The sequence below is a fragment of the Homo sapiens genome, chromosome 3 (genome assembly GCF_000001405.40).
Source record: "Homo sapiens chromosome 3, GRCh38.p14 Primary Assembly".
NCBI lineage: Eukaryota > Metazoa > Chordata > Mammalia > Primates > Hominidae > Homo > Homo sapiens.
Genome location: NC_000003.12, coordinates 142,323,407 through 142,346,758, shown reverse-complemented (window position 1 = coordinate 142,346,758; position 23,352 = coordinate 142,323,407). Strand labels below are relative to the sequence as shown.

Below are 23,352 nucleotides of genomic sequence, written 5' to 3'. Positions count from 1 at the left end.
CTGTAATCCCAGCACTTTGGGAGGCCAAGGCAGGCAGATCACTTGAGCCCAGGAGTTCAAGACCAGCCTGGGCAACATGGCAAAACCCTATCTCTACCAAAAATACAAAAATTAGCCAGGTGTGGTGGCATGCACCTGTAGTCCCTGCTATTCAGGAGGCTGAGGTAGAAGGATTGCTTGAGCCTGGGGGGCGGAGGTTGCAGTGAGCTAAGATCAGCCACTACACTCCAGCCTGGGTGACAGAGTGAGACCCCTTCTCAAAAAAAAAAAAAAGAGGATGATTGTGTCTGCTCTCAACATGTGCACACTTTTTAATCTTATTATTCCCCTAAACAATACAGTATGACAACTATTTACACAGCATTTACATTGTATCAAGCATTATAAGTAATCTAGGGATTATTTAATATATAAAGAGTATGTTTGTAGATTATATGCAAATACTACACTATTTTCTGTAAGGGACTTGAACATATGTGGATTTTGATAGCCACAGGAGGGTCTTGGAAGCAATCTTCCACAGATATGGAGGGACAACTGTATCAGTACTTCATCCTTTCTTATGGCTGAATAATATTCCATTGTATGAATGCTACATTTTATCGGTTCATCCATTTGTAGACATGGAGGTTGTTTCCACATTGGGGCTATAGTGAATAATGCTGCTATGAATATCTGTGGAAAAGTTTTTGTGTGAACATATGTTTTCAGTTCTCTTGGGTATATGCATATGAGTGAAATTACTGAGTCATATAGTGGTAACTCTTAAGTTCAGCTTTTTGTATAACTGCCGAACTGTTTGGATATTACCATTTTACCTTTGCACCAGGGATGTGTGAAGGTCCAATTTCTCCACATCCTTCACAACATTTGTTATTGTCCCTCTCTTTGACAATAGTCGTCCTACTAGGTGTGAGGTGGAATGTTCTTGTGGTTTTCATTTGTAATTTATTAATGACTAATAATGTTGAGCATCTTTTCATGTATATCATCTTTGGAGAAATGTCAGTTCAAATCCTTGGTTCATTTTTTAATTGGATTTTTTAATCTTTTTTCTTGGTTTGTAAGAGTTCTTTATACATGCTAGATATTACATGCTTCTTGGATATGTGATTTGCAAATATTTTCTCCCATTCTGTGGGTTTTCTTTTAACTTTCTTTATACTCTATTGAAACACGAAAGTTTTAAATTTTGATGAAGTCCAATTTGTGTATTTTTTCTGCTTTGTCTTTGGTTGCTTGTACCTTAGGTGTACATCTAAGAAACCATTCCCTAATCCAAAGTCACAAAGAGTTACAGTGTGTTTTCTTCTAAGAATTGTATAGTTTTAGCTTTTAGATTTAGGTCTCTTTCCATTTTGAGTAAAAGTTTATACATGGTATGATGTAGGAGTTCATATTCATTCTTCTGCATGTGGATATCCATTTATCCAAACATTGTTTGTTAAAAAGACTACTCTTTCCCCATTGAATTTTCTTGACACCCCATTGAATAGTCTTGGCACCCTTGTCAAAAATTATTTGGCTATAGAGCCAGGCATGCATCTGTAGTACCAGCTGCCCAGGAGTCTGAGGCAGGAGGATTGCTTGAACCCAGGAGTTTGAGTCCAGCCCGGGAAACATATTAAGACACCATCTCATTTTTAAGAAGTAATTGACTGTAGATGTATGGGTTCATTTCTGGACTCTCAATTCCATTCCACTAATGTATATGCCCGTCCTTATGTGAAATACACAGTCTTGATTACTGTAGCTTTGTTGTAAGTTTTGAAATCAGGAAGTTTGAGCCCTCTTTGTTTTTCTTTTTCAGGATTGTTTTCTCTATTCTGGGCCTCTTGCATTTCCATATGAATTTTATGATCATCTTGCCTATTTCTGCAAAAATGGCAGCTGGAATTTTTATAGGGATTGCATTGAATCTGTAGGTTACTTTGGGTAGTATTGTCATCTTAACAGTATTAAGTTTTCCTGTCCATGAACACAAGATGTCTTTCCATTTATTTCGGTCTTTAATTTCTTTCCATGATGTCTTGTAGTTTTCAGTTATGCAAGTCTTACACTTTTTTGTTAAATTTATTCCTAAATATTTTACTCTTTTTCATGCTTTTTTCAATGGAACTGGGTTTTTAATTTTATTTTTTGATTGTTCATTTCTGTTATAGATATAAAACTGATTTTTGTATATTGCCTTAACTGTTTATTAGCCCTAATTTTTTGTGGCTTCTGCAAATAGAGATAGTTTTACTTTTTCCTATATAATCTCAATGCCTTTTATTTCTTTTGTTGCCTAATTGCTGTGTTTACAACAGCTAGTACAGTGCTGAATAGAAGTGGTGAGAACATGCATCCTTGCCTTTTATTTGTTTTTTATCTTTTATTTTTAATTTTTGTGGATACATAGTAGGTATATATATTTATGGGTTACATGAGATATTTTGTTACAGGCATGCAATGCATAATGATCACATCAGGGTAAATAGGGTATTCATCACCTCAAGCATTTATCTTTTATGTTAGAAACAACATAATTATGTTCTCTTATTTATTTAAAAATATACAATTATTTTTATTATAGTCACCCCATTATGCTAGCAAATACTAGGTCTAATTCATCTATTTTTTTGTACCTGCTAACCATCCCCACTTCCCACCCCTCCCCCCCACTACTCTTCCCAGCCTCTAGTAACCATCCTTCTACTCTATTTTCATGAGTTCAGTCGTTTTTAATTTTTAGCTCCCACAAATAAATGAAAACATGTGAAATTTGTCTTTCTGTGCCTGGCTTATTTCACCTAACATATGATCTCCAGTTTGATCCATGTTGTTGCAAATGACAGGATCTCATTCTTTTTTTATGGCCGAATAGTACTCCATTGTGTATATGTACCACATTTTCTTTATCTGTTCACCTGTTGATGGACACTTAGGTTGTTTCCAAATCTTAGCTGTTGTGAACAGTGCTGCAACAAACATGAAAGTGGAGATAATCTCTGCAATATATTGATTTCCTTTCTTTGGGGTATATACCTAGCAGTGAGATTGCTGAATTATTTGGTAGCTCTATTTTTAGTTTTTTACAAAACCTCCAAATTGTTCTCCATAGTGTTTGTACTAATTTACATCTCCACCAACAGTATACAGGGGTACCTTTTTCTCCACATCCTCACCAGCGTTTGTTACTCCCTATCTTTTGGATAAAAGCCATTTTATCTGCGGTGACATGATATCTCATTATAGTTTTGATTTGCATTTCTTTGATGATCAATGATGTTGAGCACCTTTTCTTTTTTTCTTTTTTTTTTTTAAGACGGAATTTCGCTCTTGTTGCCCAGGCTGGAGTGCAATGGTGCGATCTCAGCTCACTGAAATCTTCGCCTCACTGGTTCAAGCGATTCTCCTGCCTCAGCCTCCTGAGTAGCTGGGATTACAGGCGTGTGCCACCACGCCTGGCTAGTTTTTGTATTTTTAGTAGAGACAGGGTTTCACCATCTTGGCCAGGCTGGTCTCAAACTCCTGACCTCGTGATCCACATGCCTCGGCCTCCCAAAGTGCTGGGATTACAGGTGTGAGCGCCTGGCTGAGCACCTTTTCATATACCTGTTTGCCATTTATGCCTCTTGTTTTGAGAAAAGTCTATTCGAAGCTTTTGCTCATTTTTTAATGAGATTATGAGATTTTTTTCCTAGAAAGTTGTTTGAGCTCCTTATATATTCTGGTTATTATCCATCTTGTCAGATGGATAGTTTGCAAATATTTTTTCCCATTCTGTGTATTGTCTCTTCATGTTGTTGATTGTTTCCTTTGCTGTGTAGAAGTTTTTTAACTTGATGTGATCCCATTTGTTTATTTTTGCTTTGGTTGCCTGTGCTTGTGGGGGACTACTCAAGAAATCTTTGCCCAGTCCAGTGTCGGAGTTTCCCCAATGTTTTCTTTGAGTACTGTCATACTTTAGGCTTAGACTTAAGTCTTTAATCCATTTTGATTTTTGTATATGGCAAGAGATGGAGGTCTAGTTTCATTTTTCTGCACATGGATATCCAGTTTTCCCAGCACCATTTATTGAGGAGACTACTCTCTCCCCAATGTATGTTCTTGGTGCCTTTGTCAAAAATGAGATGTGTGGATTTATTTCTGGGTTCACTGTTCTGTTCCACCGGTCTGTGTGTTTGTTTTTATGTCAGTGCCATGCCATTTTCATTACCATAGTTCTGTAGTATGATTTGAAGTCAGGTAATGTGATTCTTCCAGTTTTGTTCCTTTTGCTCAGGATACCTTTGGCTATTCTGGGGTTTTTGTGGTTCCATGTAAATTTTATGATTGTTTTTTCTATTTATGTAAAGAATTTCATTGGTATTTTGACAGGGATTGCATTGAATCTGTAGATCCCTTTGAGTAATAGGACATTTTAACAATATTGATTCTTCCAGTCTGTGAACCTTGGAATATCTTTCTCTTTTTTTGTGTCCTCTTCAATTTCTTGCATCAATGTTTTATAGTTTTCATTGTAGAGAACTCTTTGGTTAATTCCTAGGTAATTAGTTTTATCTGTAGCTATTGTAAATGGAATTACTTTCTTGATATCTTTTTCAGATTGTTTGCCGTTAACATATAAAAATGCTACTGATTTTTGTATGTTGATTTTGCATCCTGAAACTTTACTGAATTTATCAGTTCTGATAGTTTTTTGGTGGAGTATTCAGGTTTTTCCAAATATTGTTTGGTTCCCATCTGGAAAGTCAGTACAATGCTGAAAGTGGAATCTTGACGTATCCAGCTATTACTATATTTGGATTTATCTCTTTCTTTAGCTCCAGTAATATTTGCTCTATATACCTGGGTGCTCCAGTGTTGGAAATATATTTTTTTACAATTGTTTTTATACAGTTGTTATATCCTCTTGCTGAATTGACCTCTTTATCATTATATAATGATCTTCCTTGTGTCTTATTGTTTTTGTCTTGAAATGTATTTTGTCTAATATAAGTATAGCTAACCCCTGCTCCATTTTGGTTTCCATTGACATTGGATAACTTTTTCCATCCCTTTATTTGTCTGCATGTGTCTTTATAGGTGATGTGTGTTTCTGTTAGGCAACAGATCATTGGGTCCTTTTTTTAATCCATTCAGCCACTCTATGTCTTTTGATTAGAGTTTAGTTCATTGACATTCAGTGTTATTATTGACAAGTGAGGACTTCTTCCTGCCACTTCGATATTTGTTTTCTGGTTGTTTTTTGGTCTTCCCTTCCTCCTTTCCTGTCTTCCTTTTATTATTATTCTTCCTTTTATTATTATTTATTATTCTTCCTTTTGTTATTATTGACAAGTGAGGACTTACTCCTGCCACTTTGTTATTTGTTTTCTGGTTGTTTTTGGTCTTCTCTTCCTCCTTTCCTAGCTTCCTTTTAGTGAAGGTGATTTTCACTAGTGGTGTGACATAATTTCTTGCTTTTTATTTTTTGTGTATCTGTTTATGTTTTTTGATTTGAAGTTATGAGTCTTGCAAATTCTCTTATAACCCATTATTTTAAGCAACTTAACACTTAACAACACTGCTTGCATAAACAAAAAGAAAACTAATAAAAAATCTATAATTTAACTTCATCCTCCTGCTTAATAATATTTTGCTGTTTCTATTTATATCTTATTGTATTGTCTATGCCTTGAAAAGTTGTCATAGTTATTTTTTTCATTGGTTCATCAGTTATAAGAGTAGTTTACATACCATACAGTGTTATGTGTTTTTCTGTGTACTTACTATTATCAGTGAGTTTTGTGCCTTCAAATAATGTCTTACTGCTCATTAATGTTTTTTGCTTTCTGAATAAAGTACTCCCTTTAGCATTTCTTGTAGGACAGATCTGGTGTTGATGAAATTCCTCAGCTTTTGTTTGAGAAAGTCTTTATTTCTCCTTCATGTTTGAAGGATATTTTTTGTCAGATATACTATTATAGGGTAAAAAATTTTTTCCTTCAGCTCTTTAAATATGTCATGCCACTGTCTTCTCGCCTGTAAGATTTCCACTGAAAAGTCTGCTGCCAGATGTATTGTAGTTCCATTGTATGTTATTTGTTTCTTTTCTCTTGCTGCTTTATGATCTTTTCTTTATCTTTGACCTTTGGGAGTTTGATTATTAAATGCTTTGAGGTAGTCTTCTTTGGGTTAAATCTGCTTAGTATTCTATAACCTTCTTGTCCTTGGATATTGATACCTTTCTCTAGATATGAGAAGTTGTGTGAAATTATCTCTTCAAATAAACTTTCTACCCCTCTTTCTCTACCTTCTCTTTAAGGCTAATAATCTTAGATTTGCCCTTTTGAGGCTGTTTTCTAGATCTCGTAGACGTGCTTCATTCTTTCTTATTCTTTTCTCTTTTCTCTTCTCTGTGTGTGTGGTTGTTTTTGAGATGGAGTTTCACTTTTATTGCCCAGGCTGGAGTGCAGTGGTGCAATCTCAGCTCACCGCTACCTCCGCCTCCTGGGTTCAAGCAATTCTCCTGCCTCAGCCTCCCAAGTAGCTGGGATTACAGGCATATGCCACCAAGCCCGGCTAATTTTGTATTTTTAGTAGAGACAGGGTTTCTCCATGTTGGTCAGGCTGGTCTCGAACTCCCGACCTCAGGTGATCCACCTACCTCGGCCTCCCAAAGTGCTGGGATTACAGGCATGAGCCACTGCGCCCAGCCTATATATTTTCAAATGGCCCATTCAAGCTCACTGATTCTTTCTTCTGCTTAATCACTTCTGCTATTATGAGACTCTGATACATTTTTCAGTATGTCAGTTGCATTTTTCAACTCCAGAATTTCTGCTTGATTCTTTTTAATTATTTCACTATCTTTGTGAAATGTATCTGATAGAATTCTGATTCTTTCTCTGTGTTATCTAGAATTTCTTTGAGTTTCCTCAAAACAGCTATTTGGGGATTTTGTTTGTTTGTTTTTGTTTTTTGTTTTTGTTTTTGAGGCAGGGTCTTGCCCTGTTGTTGGAGTGCAGTGGTACTATTACGTCTCACTGCAGGCTCAACCGCTTGGGCTCAGTCAGTCCTCCCACCTCAGCTTCCCAAAGTGCTGGGATTACAGGCATGAGCCAATGCACCTGACCAAAACAGTTATTTTGAATTCTCTGTCTGAAAGGTCACATATCTCTGTTTCTCCAGGATTGGTCCCTGGTGCCTTACTGAATTTGTTGAAGTCATGTTTTTTGCTGGATGGTCTTGATGCTTGTTGATGTTTGTTGGTGTCTGGGGATTAAAGAGTTAGATACATCTCGTAGTCTTCAAAGTCTGGGCTTGTTTGTAGCAGTCCTTCTTGGGAACACTTTCCAAGTATTTGAAATGACTTGGATTTTGTGATCTAAGCCACATCTGCATTAAGGAGCACACCTAGACCAATAATTCTGTGGTTCTTACAGGATCAGAGGTGCCATCTTGGTGGTCTTGGAGAAGATTCAAAAGAATTCTCCAGATTCCCAGGCAGACTCTTGTTCTCTTCCTTTACTTTCTCCCAAACAAATGGGGTATCTCTTTCTGAGCCACCTGGGCTTGGGGATGGGGTGACACAGGTACCCCTGTGGCCACCACCACTGGGACTGCACTAGGTCAGACCTGAAGCCACCACAGTACTGGATCTCGCCCACAGCCCGCCATACCTGGCTGTCAACCTGTGTTTACTCAAGGTCCTAGTGCTCTATAATCAGTAGATGGTGAAACCAGCCAGGCTTGTGTCCTTCCCTTTAGGGAAGTGTGTTCCCTTAGGTCCCAGGTAGATCCTGAGATGCCATCCAGGAGACAGGGTCTGAATTTAAAAACCTTAGAAATCTGTGTTGTACTGCAGCTAAGCTGGCCCTGAAACCTTGAGCCACTACCCTTCCCACTCTTCCCTTCACTTTCTGCGGGCAGAAGAGTATTTCCCCGTGGCCGTCACCAACCACACGCCCATGGGGAGTACTGCTAGGCTGTTGCTGATGAACTCCCAAGGGTTCTTCAGTCAGCTTGTGATAAATGCTGCCTGGCCTGGGACTCACCCTTCAGGGCAGTGGGGTTCCCTCTGGCCCAAGGCACATCTAGAAATGCCATCTAAAAACCACACCCTGGAATTGGGGACCCTGAGAGCCCACTTAGTGCTCTGTCCCACTTGGCAGAGCTGGTACCTAAGATGCAGACAAAATCTCCTTTACTTTTCCCTCTGCTTTTCTCAAGCAGGACTCTCTCAGTATAATCACCACAGCTGGGCATGTGCTGGGTCTCTTATGAAGCCAGCATGTCTCAGACTCTTATCGAAGGCACATGGATACTACCTGGTATCGCTGCTGGTTGTTTCAGTCCCAAGGGTTCTTTAGTTAACAAGTGATGAATCCTGCCAGGACTGGGTTCTTCCCTTCAGGACTGTAGGTTCCCTTCTGGCCCAGGGCGTGTCTAGAGATGTCATCCAGGAGTGCTAAGGCCTGAAATGGGGTCTCATGACTCTGACACAAGCCTGAGTTGGTATCCAAGATACAAAAGTCCTCTTTACTCTTCCCTTTTCTTTCGTCAAGTGGAAGAGAGGGATGTCTTTTGGAGCCTCAAGCTGTGTTGCCTGGGGTTGGGGGAGTTGGGGAAGTGGTGGCACAAGCACTTCCTTAGCTGCCCCAGCAAGAGTCTCAGTAAGTCACATGCCTAGCAAGTAAAAGGCTGCAAGCCCAACTCAACACTAGGACGTGTAGTCCTTGTGGCCTGGACAGCCTTTCAGGTTTATTTAAGGCTCCAAAGCACTTCAGTCCATGGGGGCAAGGCTTGCAGGTACTCAAGTTCCCACTGTCTTTTTTCTTGAATAAACACTCCCTAGATTGCTGCAAGCCTTTGGTTAACTTCTGTGGTTCTGAAAATATGAATTCTGCTAATTTATGCCCATTCTCTTGTTGATTTTATGGAGGAGAGAATTTTTGGAGGTCCTTACTCTGACATTTTGCTGATGTCCCTTCCCTAACAACTTGAGATAAATCTTAGAGTGATCCAGTTACTTTTCTGCTTATAAACACTTGCCTATTATATACTCCAAATTATATTACAGGCTTTTCTTTAAAATAGGTGCAAATATTTTGTTAATATTCTCTCACATAATTTATATGTTTATACTCTTTAAATTTCTTCAGTAGTGTCTACTGTGTTCAGGCACAGTTGGGAATGAGAATCTTCATCCTGTAGTAATTATTTCTCTTCCCTTGACCAAAGGATTTCCAAATTGCAGAAAATTATTCTTTATGTTCAAAATATGACTCATTTGTTATTCGTTTATTTATTCAACTACTATTTATTGAGTACAAGGCACTGTTCTAGATGCTGGGGATACATGACTAAAAAGGAAGACAAATTTTCTGACCTCCTAGAGTATAATGGAGTTTACACTCTAAGATGAAGACTGATAATAAGCAAGTAAACAGTAAATTCCATAATCTGAAGTAATAATAAGTGCTATGATGAAAAAGTAAAACAGATTAAGAGGATAGAGTGACAGGGGTGCTCTTTTAAATTGGGTTTACAAGAAAGGCCTTTCTGAGGAGATGAGATTCCAGCAGAGACCCTAATAAAGGGCTCAGGAAGGCATGAACTATGCAAAGCTGGCTGAAGAACTTTCCAGTAGAGGAAATATCAAGTGCAGACCCCTGAGTCTAACTTATTATATTTTATATATGCATGGTATTTTATTTATCTATATATTATAGGTATTAAAATCTTTTAAACATTTTTCTAAAAAGCTATTTTCAAAAAAAATTTTGTGGTTTTTAACTTTGGTTCAGTTTGGTAAGTGCTATACCTTTTTTTAATACCAGTATCTGTATGTTATTTTGGTTTATTTTACTCTTTAAGTTAAATACAGATTAATGTCCCTGTAAATCTGATAATGATAAATATAGCATAAAGGTGTTATATTCAAATGGATTTTAATTTTTCTCCAAACTAATATTTACATAAATGTATGTAAACTATTTGAGTTATGTGGAGTTCCAGTTAGTTTTCTTTTGTGTATGTCTCAACAAATGTTTAGTGTTAATGCTTGTCAGCTCACATTTTCTTTTCCTTTGTTTTGTAAGATTACTTTCTTCCCTTCCTCTCTTCCTTACCTCCATTACCTTCCTTTACTCCCCTTCCTCCCCTTCTCTTTTCCTCTCTCTCTATTCCTTCTCTTACCCTTCCTTCTCCCCTTTGTCCTTCCTTCCCCTGTCTCTGATCTCATTCCCTCCTCCCATGCCCTCCTCACTATTCCCCTTCCCCTGCTTCTTTCCTCAGCCTCTCTTTCTTTTTTAATATTGCCTCCCTCCCTCCCTTCCCTTCCTTCCTTCCTTCCTTTTTCCTCTTCTCTTTCCACCCACCTTTTTATTTTTTCAGACTGGCTTAATGAACAGTCTAGTGATAGAAAGTGGTAAAAATAAGTTATAGTAGATCTATATAGCTATATAATCCAGTATATCCAATATAATAGAATATTATGCAATAATTACAAACTATGCTTTTTGTGCTTCTTCATATCTACCTCATGCCCCTCATATTTTTCATCTTCATATTCTGTCATTTACCAAATCCTATGAAAATAATCTCTCAAATTCATCCTTTCCTATCTCCTTCATCTTCACATCCTGTCATTTGCTAAATCCTAGAATTTTTCAAATTCATTCTTTTCATTTCTCCTACCATCCCCCAATTTCCCCTTAACAGAACTATTAAAATAGCTGCCTGAGTTGGTCTTGTACTATTCTTCTATTTAGCCAATAGGCTATGGCCATATTTTAATCGTCCTAAAGCACAGTTCTCATCAGATTACTACCTGCTTAAACCTTTCTGTTACTGGCTGCCCATTTCCTACCAACTTAATATAATACCGTAGTCTTCAGTGACTTGCAGATTATGGCTCTAACCTGCTTTTTTAGTTCTCTCAAGCTCCATTTTACCCTTAACTTCCAGTGGAACTTGCTTTCTGCTTCCATGTCTTTTTTCCCACTATTTGCTTTGCCTGGAGTACTTAACTTCTTAGTCTGCCCTTTAGAACCTACCTCCTTCGAGGCCCAATTCAGATGCCACCTTTCCATTTTCTCTATTATTATCTAAGTGTCTCTTCTCCCCCTTATCTATGTTATAAATTCCTTAAGTTCAGAGACTGTGTCTTGAAATTCTCTGAATTTTTAACACAGTGCCTTGCTATTATAAATATTTGGTAGTTTTAATTGTGCAGTAAACACTTCCATTTATGAAAATTTCTGTTTTCTTGTCTCTAGTTAAAGAAGAGTGTAAGAGTCCTAAAGCTGAGTGTTGGTCCCAAAAAATGTCCAATAAGCAGGTAAGCTTCCTTAAAATCAAATTTCTAGTTACCAATTTTTTAATGCAATTGGTGGCTCTGTAGCATTGGACTGAATTTCTCAACCTTTTCAACCAAATTTATAAGGTGTGTGGCCAGAGGGTCACTGAAGTTAAGCTGACAGTCACTTGGATGGGAGGTTGTACACCTAAAGTCCTGGATTTGGAACTAGAGGCACCTGAAATCCTGATTCTCTCATTTAATAGTTGGGTGGCCTTGAGCAATTCACTTTACCTCTCACAGCCTCAATTTTCTCATCTTTAAGTGGAGATAAAAATATTAATCACTTGTCCAGGCGTGGTGGCTCATGCCTGTAATCCTAGCACTTTGGGAGGCCAAGGTGGGCGGATCACCTGAGGTCAGGAGTTCGAGACCAGCCTTGCCAACATGGTAAAACCCCGTCTCTACTAAAAATACAAAAAAATCAGCCAGGCGTGGTGGCATGTGCCTGCTGTAGTCCCAGTTACTCGGGAGGCTGAGGCAGGAGAATCACTTGAACCCATGAGGCAAAGGTCGCAGTGAGCTGAAATCGCACCACTGCACTCCAGCCTGGGCAACAGTGAGACTCTGTCTCAAAAAAAAAAAAAAATTAATCACTTGTAGTTGCTCCCAATATATATGGTCTTTTGTGTGTGTGTGTGTGTGTGTGTGTGTGTGTGTGTATACATAGACATATATATACACACACATAGACATTATATATGGTCTTATATATATACACATAGACATATATATATGGTCTTATATATATACACATAGACATATATATGGTCTTATATATATACATAGAAATATATATTTACATATACAATTGAAGTACATGGAACAAAATAGCAAATTTAACAGGCTAACTTCTGTGGAATTAGATTGGTGTGGGGGAAGCCAAGATCATTTATGTTTTACTTTATATAGTCTCTGCTGTTTACAAGGATTATGGATGCATTTTATAATGAAAGAATAACAAATCTTTGATCTAAAAAAATTTGACACGTATATTTATTAGATGTGTACTTTTCTGTATGCCTATCATATTTTAATATATATTTTTTTAAATTGATCTCTTATAGTAATATATTAAATTTATAAAAGGTCTTAGCTGAATATTTGGCACATAACAGGTAGTAAATGGAACCCATTAATGTTTAGATACCAGTAAACGGTTTAATTACTTGACTTTTAAGGCCCTCTCCATTTGAAACTCTTATACTGTAATTTCCTTTCTTCTAGAAAAGGGATTGATAAACTTTTTGTTCAATAGACATCTTTGGTGAAGCCCATGGACTTTTGGTGAAGCCATTATTATTCTCAGAATAGTATTTTTAATGCTAAAATAAAATACATACGATTTTAAAGAAAACCAGTTATACTGATATACAATTAGAATCACCACTGTTGTGGTTTTCATAGTTGATTTGGGCTGCTATAATAACAATACCATAGACTAGGTACATTTGAACAATAAACATTTATTTCTCACAGCTCTGGAATCTGAGAAGTCCAAGATCAAGGCACTAGCAGAATAATGTCTTTAATGCTAAAAAGATTTAAGAGAAAACCAGTTATATTGAAATACAGTTAGAATCCGGTAAAGTGCCATTGTCTGGTGGGGGCTCCCTTTCTGGCTTGCAGATGATGCGTCTTCTCATATTCTAACATGATGGAGAGAAAGAGCTCTATTCTCTTTCTATTCATATAAGGACACTAATACCATCATGGATGTTGCACCCTAAAGACCTCATCTAAACTTAATTACCTACCAAAGGCCCCACCTCCTAATATGATCCCATTAGGAGTTAGGATTTTAACAGAAGAATTTTGGGGGAATACAAACATGCAGACCATATAAGTGTTTTGTTGCCTATATTCATAATTGCAGGAAATGCTAAATCTCATTGAGAGGTTAATGAAGATTAAGGTGTAATTTTCCCCATCCAAGTTTATAGGCCCCTTTTCTTATGATACAAAAGGGAAAATAGCACATAAAATTTTTTTGCAACAATTTATTTAGAACACTATTACATATTAACTATAAATATATTTGCACAAAAAGTTTATTCTTACTTTTTTAATAGACTTTAGAAGGGCCTGCCAAATATAATATTAAGCTATTGAAGAGAAATGAAAGTCCAGAAGTCTCAGAAACCCAAAAGGTTGTGACTGGTTATCCAAATGCTATTGATAAGGTAAAAAACTATTTATTCCAATTCTCTTCCCAAACTTTAACACCTGGGAAGATGATTGAGTGAAAATCGAATGACCATTTTTGTACATAAAACTCAGCTTTTTGTGTGTTCTTGTATTATACGTTCATCTTCATGCCCAAAATATTTATTCTTTTAGCCTAACTCTGGAATTGAGAACTTTTTAGCATCTTTGAATATCTCCAAAGAAAATGAAGTACAGTCATCTCATCATGGGGAGCCTCCAAGTGAAGAGCATTTGTCACCACAGTCATTTGCCATGGTTCGTATTTTGTAGGAACTTTCTTACTGTGGTAATTTCTCGACTGTTGACCATGCAGACATATCCCATGCAAGTGTTCAAACACTTCCATCATGGAGGCTGGTATGTTACATCATTATTGTCATCTTGTGAGGAAACCAGGCTGCCCTGGGCAATTTAGCCATACTTTTTCTCTTTAGACCACAGTTCCCCTGCTTTTCAAACATTGCTACTAGGTAACTGGGATGAAAGTTAAGCAGGAGGATAAGTATCGTTTCTGTATCAGAAATGTGGGTGTTGGGTTTTTTTTTTTCAGTTTCTATCTGAATGTAGTTAATGTCTTAATTGTTAACAATGGAATTCTTTCCAAGAAAGATCAATAAGTTCTACAGATGTAATGTTGACTTTGTTCTCTTCACCCTCACCATCTCCATGTGAATCATTTTCAAAAAGAAGGGAACACGGATGCTTAAAGAAATTCTAAAAATTGATGGCTCTAACACTGTGGACCATAAGAATGAAATCAAACAGATTGCTAATGAAATCCCTGTTTCCTCTAACAGAAGAGATGAATATGGATTACCCTCTCAGCCTAAACAAAATAAGAAATTAGGTAAGTAAACTAAATACTATTACCAATAATATCATTTTAAAAATTCAATTCATTTGGTTCTTTTTAATCATGTACTTTTAAAGATAAAACTGCTTTTATTTTAATGTATTTATTTATTTTAGAGATGGTGTCTTGCTGTGTTGGCCAGGCTGGTCTCAAACTTCTGACCTCAAGCAATCCTCTCACTTCAGCCTCCCAAAGTGCTGGGATTACAGGTATATGCCACCACACCTGGCCCAAAACTACTTTTATTCTTAAAACTATAATTTTTATATTTGTTTCAGTTATATAATAATATAACTGGCCAGGTGTGGCTCATGCCTGTAATCTCAGAACTTTGGGAAGCTGAGGCAGGCGGATCTCTTAAGCTCAGGAGTTCAAGACCAGCCTGGGCAACATGGCGGAAACTCTGTCTCTCTAAAAAATACAAAAGTTAGCTAGGTGTGGTGGCGTGTGCCTGTAGTCCCAGCTACTGGGGAGGCTGACGTGGTAGGATTGCTTGAGCCTTGGAGGCAGAGGTTGCAGTGAGCCAAGATCACGCCACTGCACTCTAACCTGGGCAACAGAGATAGACCCTGTCTCAAAAAACAAAAAGAACAATAATAATACAACCATGTAACCAATAGATCTACAGTCACTAAATGTCTTCTTGTGATTACTTAATTGTAGTGTTATAGATAATCATTCTGTAGACATCCAAACCTTTAAAAGTTTGCACATTCTAGCTTTTGTCCTCAGTAATTTAAAAATTATCATGTAACTTAAATACATTATTTAACTTTTCTGAAATCTTGTTTCTTATTTATAAAATAAGAATAATACATTACAGATTACTTGTGGTAATTATATAACATGTATAAATATAAAACAGCACTATGTCCAACACATTGTAGGTGCTAATAATTGATATTAATATTATGTTAAAATAACCTAACTGTTGTAAAAATAGAAAAATCTACAAAATCAATTAAAAATCATTAATAGAGTTAGATATAGGAAAGTGAGTCATACTCTTAAGTCTGTAAAGCCTATAGCATAACATCTGGCACATAACTGGATTTCAGTAAATATCCGCCATATTTGTTCCTACCCTGAATGTCCTCTATACTTTAGCATTTTATCTGTATAATGATCTACTAAAGGCAGCCAGGAAGAATGACTGATACAAAAGTGGATGTGGGCAGAAGTTTCTCAGAGAAGTCAAAAACATTTTGGAATAAGCAGATCTAAGCGTATTAAAGATCAAAACCTGGAATTGGCTGGGCACGTTGGCCCACATCTGTAATGCCAGCACTTTGGGAGGCCAAGGCGGGTGGATCACCTGAGGTCAGGAGTTTGAGACCAGCCTGGCCAACATGGTGAAACCCCCTTTCTACTAAAAATACAAAAAATTAGCCGGGTGTGGTGGCAGGCGCCACCAAGTAGCTGTAATCCCAGCTACTTCAGAGGCTGAATCAGGAGAATCGCTTGAACCCGGGAGGTGGAGGTTGCAGTGAGCCAAGATCACGCCATCACACTCGAGCCTGGGCAACAAGAGCGAAACTCTGTCAAAACAAAAACAAAACCTGGAATAAAAGCAGAACCTAACCCCATTTATATTCCAGTGATAATTAATTAAAAATTCCAAAAAATATTAGGAACCTGATTATTTATTATAGTGACAGACATGGTCCTGAAATAGAACCAAATTAATTTTAAGACAAAATTAGATAAAGATGGTCCCATTGTCAAAAACAAGTAAGTTTTACTTTATTTCAGTATAGGAAAAAAAAAAAAAAAAACTCATAGGCTTTAGAGTCTTAGGGTCACTAGCTCAGAATCCAGCCCCTGTTATAGAACTAACTGGCTCTGTGACTTTGAGCAAGCCACTTAACTGCTTTTTTAATCTATATTAGTAAGAAGTTTGGATTAATTCTTCAATGAGGTATGCTTTTGTTCTATTAGTGAGTTTGTTAATCATAAAGAATGTGAACACTCAGAATTTTAAAATCATCTTCCATATAAAAACACTTAGAAGACAATTTCAAAAAAAACTTTTAAGAAATATTATTTCAGAGCCACAAAAATATTCATCCATGTGTCTCAGAATGTAAGGTGGAATTGCAAGAATTGAGGTGGAAGCCAAAACTTCAAAACTTAAGGATGAATTATATTTCAGCTCAAGAAAGCCATTTGTTTATTCATTCTTTTATTTTTCTCTTCTTACTTCTGCAAAACAAGAAAGCCATTTGTTTGTTCAAATTTTACCTGTAGCAGTACCATGTAGTCATTAGCTGCTCAAGGTTTTAATTTTTGGCAGTTAGGTACTTATATTTTAAAATCTTTATCTTAATAATTTATCATTAATCAATTATACTCATCCAAAAACCTTTACTGAAGTCACAATAATTTTAGGAAGTACTAAATAGTTGTTTATATGTGCTTCATGGAAGACTCATCTTTTTAATGCAGTTGGTGGCTCTATAGCGTCTAACTGAATTTTTCAAGGTTTTCGACCAAATTTATAAGGTGCGTGGCCAGAGGACCACTGAAGGTAAGCTGACAGTCACTTGGATGGCAGGTTGTACTGCTAGAGTCCAGGATTTGGAACTAGAGCCACCTGAAATCCTGATTCTGTTATTTAATAATGGGTGGCCTTGAGCAATTCACTTCACTTTTTAGCAGTTTCCTGCTTGCTCTTCTATAAAACCCTACAATAAGTGCATAATTTGAGATAGTATTTTATTAATAAAGATAGACTCTTTTCTCTTTTTTGGTAGCATCTTATATGAACAAGCCTCACAGTGCTAATGAGTACCATAATGTTCAGTCTATGGACAATATGTGTTGGCCTGCCCCCAGCCAGATCCCTCCTGTATCCACACCAGTAACTGAACTTTCTCGAATTTGTTCCCTTGTTGGAATGCCACAACCTGATTTCTCCTTTCTTAGGATGCCACAGGTATAGTATACTACTGTTCTATTTATATAAATTATTTAACATTAAGCTTAAATAAATTGGTTGAAAATGTTTAGCTAGAAAAAATAAAATGGGGCCTATTTTTCTTAACTTTATGAGCAGCATAGATTTATGCTTCTTACCCTAGCTCTAATATTTATACATAACCAAAGCCCTAAGAGAAGCTGACAGGGAGGAACTGGGCAGCAGGTATCCTGGCAAGATTCCTCAAACTAATAGAGCCAGGGATCTTGGCCTACAGTAGCAATTTTCAAACTTTTTGGTCTCAGAAACTTCACACTTTTTTTGGAGGACCCCAAAGAGATTTTGTTTACTTATATCCATATTTACTGTGTTTGAAATTAAAACAAAAAAAATTGGCCAGTTGTAATGGGTCATGCCTGTAACTCAGCACTTTGGGAGGCCAAGGCGGGAGGACAGCTTGAGGCTGGGAGTTTAAGACCAGCCTGGGCAACATAGCAAGACCTCATCTCTACAAAAGAATATAAAAATAAAATTAGCCATGTGTGTTGTGAGCCTGTAGTCCCAGCTGCTCACAAGGCTGAGGCAGGAGGACGGAAGCCCAGGAGGTCAGGACTTCAGTGAGCCACGATTATGCCATTGCACTCCAGCCTGGGCAACAGAGCAAGACCTTGTCTCTGAAACATATATATATATATATATATATATATATATATATATATATATATATATATATATATATATATATATAATATTACAAGTAAACCTATATGTTTATTAATCCATTGTTTATTAAAAATAACTTTCACCTAATAGACATCTGTAGAACATTTCATCCAACAGCTGTAGAATATACATTCTTTTCCTCAACAAATGGAACATTCTCAAGGATAAACCAAATGTTAAGCCACAAAACAAGTCTCACAAAATTCAAAAGATTAAAATTCAATCAAGTATATTTTCTGACCATAATGAAATAAAACCAGAAATCAATAACAAGAGGAACTTTGGAAACTATACAAATAAATGGAAATTAAACATTATGTTTCTGAATGGCCCTTGGGTCAATGAAGAAATTAAGAGAAAATTTTAAATTTTCCTGAAGCAAATGAAAATGGAAACACAACATACCAAAACCTGTAGGATACGGCAAAAGTAGTACTAGGAGGGAAGATTATAGCAATAAATCCCTGCATCCAAAAAGTACAGACACTTCAAATAAACAACCTAACAGTGTGTCTTGAAGAATTAGTTCCAGCAGTCACACTACTGGGTATCTATCTAAAGGAAAAGAAATTGTATAAAAAAGATACCTGATTTGTATGTATATTGCAGCACTAGTCACAATAGCCAAGATGTAGAATCAACCTAAGGGTCCATCAACAGATGATTGGATAAAGAAAATGTGGTGTATATATACACAATGGAATATTGTTCAGACATTTTAAAAAAGAATGAAACCATGTCTTTTGCAGCAACATGGATGGAACTGAGGCCATTATCTTAAGCAAACAACTCAGAACAGATACCACATGTTCTCATTTATAAGTGGGAGCTAAATAATGTGTACATAGGGATATAGAGTGTGAAATAATAGAGACTTGGAAGGGTGGGGGATGGGCAGGGAGTAGATGGTGAGAAATTACTTAATGGCTGCAATGTATGCAGTGTACATAATTCAGGTGATGAATATAAGAAAAGCCCAGACTTTACCACTCTGCAATAAATCCATGTAACAAAACTGCACTCGCACCCCTTACGTTTATACAAATTTTTAAAATAAATAATAACTAGAAAAGCAAGAGGAAACCAAACCCAAAATTATTAGAAGAAAAGAAATGATAAAGATTGGGGCAGAAATTAATGAATTGATACTAAAAATAGTACAAAAGATGGATGAAAGAAAAAGTTGTTTTTTTTTTTTAAAAGATAAGCAAAATCAACAAACCTTTAGCCGGACTGTAAAAGAGAGAATATCCATATGAATAAAATCAGAGATGAAAAAGGAGTCATTACATCTGATAACACAGAAATTCAAAATATTTTAGAGACTATTATGAGCAACTATATGCAGTAAATTGGAAAACTTAGAAGAAATGGATGAATTCCGAGACACATAAAAACATACCAAGATTGAACCATGAAGAAATCCAAAACTTGAATAGAACAACATTAACAAGATGGAAGCGGTAGTAAAAAGCCTCTTATCAAAGTAGACCAGGACCTGGTGTTTTCGCTACTGAATTCTGCCAAACGCTGAAAGAAGAGCTAATAAGAGTTCTACTCAGACTGTTCCAAAAACTTGAGGAGGAGAAAATACTTCCAAACTTGCCAGTATTACCCTGATACCAAAACCAAAGAAAGACACTACAAAAAATGAGAACTACAGGCCGATATATCTGATGAAGTAGATATAAAAATCTTCAACACAATACTAGTGAATTGAATTCAAAGGCACATTAAAAAGATAATTCATCATGATCAAGTGGGATTCATCCCAGGTATGCAAGGATGTTTAAATATATGCAGTCAATAACTGTGACACATCAACAAAATGAAGAACAAAAACCATATGATCATTTCAATACTAACTGAAAAAGTGTTTGATAAAATTCAGCATCTCTTTGTGATAACAGCTCTCAACAAACTGGGTATAGAAGGAACATACCTCAACATAATAAACAACAACAAACCCACAGCTAGTATCATACTGAATGGGGGAAAAATGAAATACTTTCCTTTAAATTCTGGAAACAAGACAAGGATGCCCACTTTCACCACTGTTAATATAGTACTGGAAATCCTTGCCAGAGCAATTAGACAACAGAAATAAATAAAAGGCATCCAAAAGGGAAAGGAAGGAGTCAAACTACTCTTGTTAGTAGACAATATAATCTTATATTTAGAAAAAAACTATTAGAATTGATAAATTCAGTGAAGTTGTAGGATACAAAATCAACATACAATCAGTCACATTTCTATATACTGACAGCAAACAATCTGAAAAAGAAACCAAGAAATTAATCCCCTGCAGAATAGCTACAAATAAATAAAATACCTAGAAATTAATCAAGTTAACCAAAGCAGTGAAAGATCTCTACAATGAAAACTTATTATAAAACAATGATGCAAGAAATTGAAGAAGACACAAAGAAATGGAAAGATTGTCCATGTTCATGTATTGGAAGAATCAATATTGTTAAAATGTCTATACCACCCCCAAGCAATCTGCAGATACAGTGCAACTCCTCTCAAAATACCGATGACATTCTTGACAGAAATAGAAAAAAAAAAAAAATCCTAAAATTTATCTTGAACCGCACACGATCCTGAATAGCTACGGCAATCCAGAGCAAAGTGAACAAAGCTGGAGGCATTATACTGCAAAGTTACATAACCAAAACAACATGGTACTGGCTTAAAAACAGACAGAGACCAATGGAACAGAATAGAGAATCCAGAAATAAATCCACACAGTTACAGTCAACTTATTTTTTATAAAGATGACAAGAACATATGTTAGGGAAAGAACAGCCCCTTCAGTAAATGATCCTGGGACAACTAGATATCCATATTTAAGGGAATGAAACTAAGTGCTTATCTCTCACCATTTTCAAAAATCAAATCAAAATGGATTAAAGACTTAAATGTTAGATCTGTAGCTATTAAACTGCTGGAAGTAAACACTGGGGAAACACTCCAGTACATTGATTTGGGCAAAGATAAGTAAGACATCAAAAGCACAGGCAACTAAAGCAAAAATGCATAAACGGTATCACATCAAGCTTAAAAAGCTTCTGCACAACAAAGGAAACAATCAACAAAGTGAAAAGACAATACACAGAAGAGGAGAAAATATTTGCAAACTACCCATCTGACAAGATATTAATAGCCAGAATATATAAGGAGCTCAAACAATAAGAGAAAAAAAACAAAAAATCCCATTTGATAGTGGGCAAATGCAATATACCCATGTAACAAACCTGCATGTATACCCCCATGTGTCAAACAAAAGTTGAATTTTTAAAAAATAAAATATAACTATAAAAATTTTTAATGGGCAAATGATCTCAGCAAACATTTCTAAAAAGAAAACATACAAATGGCCAACAGGTATATGAAAAAATGCTCAACATCACTACATTAGAGAAATGCAAATCAAAACTACAATGATATATCTCCAATTAAAATGGCTTTTACCAAAAAATAAAAAACAGGCAATAATGGATGCTGGTAAGGATGCAGAGAAAGGGAAACCCTCATACATTGTTGGTGGAAACGTAAATTAGTACAGCCACTATGAAGGACATACAGCATGGAAATTGCTCAAAAAGATAAAAATAGACCTACCATATGATCCAGCAATTCCACTGCTGGGTATAGGTCCAAAAGAAAAAATATCAGTATATGTAAGAGATATTTGTCCTCTCATGTTTATTGCAGTGCTATTCACAAAAGCCAAGATACAAAATCAACCTAAGTGTCCATCAATGGATAAATGGATGAAGAAGATGTGTGTGTATATATATACACACTTCTCAAGATATACACTTCTCAAAAGAAGACATTTATGCAGCCAACAGACATATGAAAAAATGCTCATCATCACTGGCCATCAGAGAAATGCAAATCAAAACCACAATGAGATACCATCTCACACCAGTTAGAATGGTGATCATTAAAAAGTCAGGAAACAACAGGTGCTGGAGAGGATATGGGGAAATAGGAACACTTTTACACTGTTGTTGGGACTGTAAACTAGTTCAACCATTGTGGAAGTCAGTGTGGCATTTCCTCAGGGATCTAGAACTAGAAATACCATTTGACCCAGCCATCCCATTACTGGGTATATACCCAAAGGATTATAAAACATGCTGCTATAAAGACACATGCACACCTATGTTTATTGCAGCAGTATTCACAATAGCAAAGACTTGGAACCAACCCAATTGTCCAACAACGATAGACTGGATTAAGAAAATGTGGCAGATATACACCATGGAATACTATGCAGCCATAAAAAATGATGAGTTCATGTCCTTTGTAGGGACATGGATGAAGCTGGAAACCATCATTCTCAGCAAACTATTTCAAGGACAAAAAACCAAACACAACATGTTCTCACTCATAGGTGGGAATTGAACAGTGAGAACACATGGACACAGGAAGGGGAACATCACACGCTGGGGACTGTTGTGGGTGGGGGGAGGGGGGAGGGATAGCATTAGGAGAGATACCTAATGTTAAATAAAGAGTTAACGGGTGCATCACACCAACATGGCACATGTATATATATGTAACAAACCTGCACGTTGTGCACATGTACCCTAAAACTTATAGTAAAAAAAATAAAAATAATAAAAAAAAAACTGAAAAAAAACCCAATAATATATATTTTAAAATAACCAAAAGAGTGGAATTGAAATGTTCCTAACACAGCAAAAATGATAAATACTTGAGGTGATGGATATCTCAGTTACTGTGATTTGATCATTATACATTGTATCCTTGTATCAAAATATCACATGTACCCCATAAATGTGTGTTATAATTATTATGTATTCATAAAACTAGAAACAAAAAAAAAATAGTAAAAAATATTAACTACTTAAAAAATTTAGTTAGAAGAGTGATATTACTCGAATTTTTTTTTTAAAGAGATGGGGTGTCATTTTGTTGCCCAGGCTGGCTTCAAGCAGTCCTCCCACCTTGGCTTCCCAAAGTGCTAGGATTACAGGCACATGCCACCATGCCCGTCCTGCTCTACATTTTAAAAATCCTTCTCACCACAGTAGTAATAGGAGAAGCTAGATTCTCCTGTCTGCTTAATACTGTCAATCCCTAGTGATACGTGTTTTTTTGTAGAAATCTATGTCCTCATACAGATACAAAATTAGAAAAATGAAGAGAATCTTAATAGCCTTTTCAGATAGTTTTGGCTATACTTTAATATTACATTAAAACTTAAAAGTGGGCCGGGCATGGTATCTCACGTCTGTAATCCCAGCACTTTGGGAGGCCAAGGCAGGCGGATCACTTGAGGTAAGG

General features: G+C 36.4%; 1 protein-coding gene across 11 annotated transcripts in view; it reads left to right on the top strand.

Moving 5' to 3' along the window:
* Positions 1-23,352, top strand: part of XRN1 (5'-3' exoribonuclease 1) — a 141,428-nt gene that overhangs the window by 101,279 nt on the left and 16,797 nt on the right. For 5 of the 11 annotated variants that reach the window (XM_017006641.2, XM_011512920.3, NM_001282857.2 and 2 more), the window contains 4 exons: positions 11,250-11,311; positions 13,670-13,792; positions 14,225-14,384; positions 17,144-17,325. In XM_017006641.2, the coding sequence (XP_016862130.1) occupies positions 11,250-11,311; positions 13,670-13,792; positions 14,225-14,384; positions 17,144-17,325 (527 nt within the window). Of the gene's footprint in view, positions 1-11,249; positions 11,312-13,669; positions 13,793-14,224; positions 14,385-17,121; positions 17,326-23,352 lie in introns of those variants that run through there. The other 6 variants (XM_047448357.1, XM_047448356.1, XM_017006640.2 and 3 more) reach the window with 3 other exon arrangements.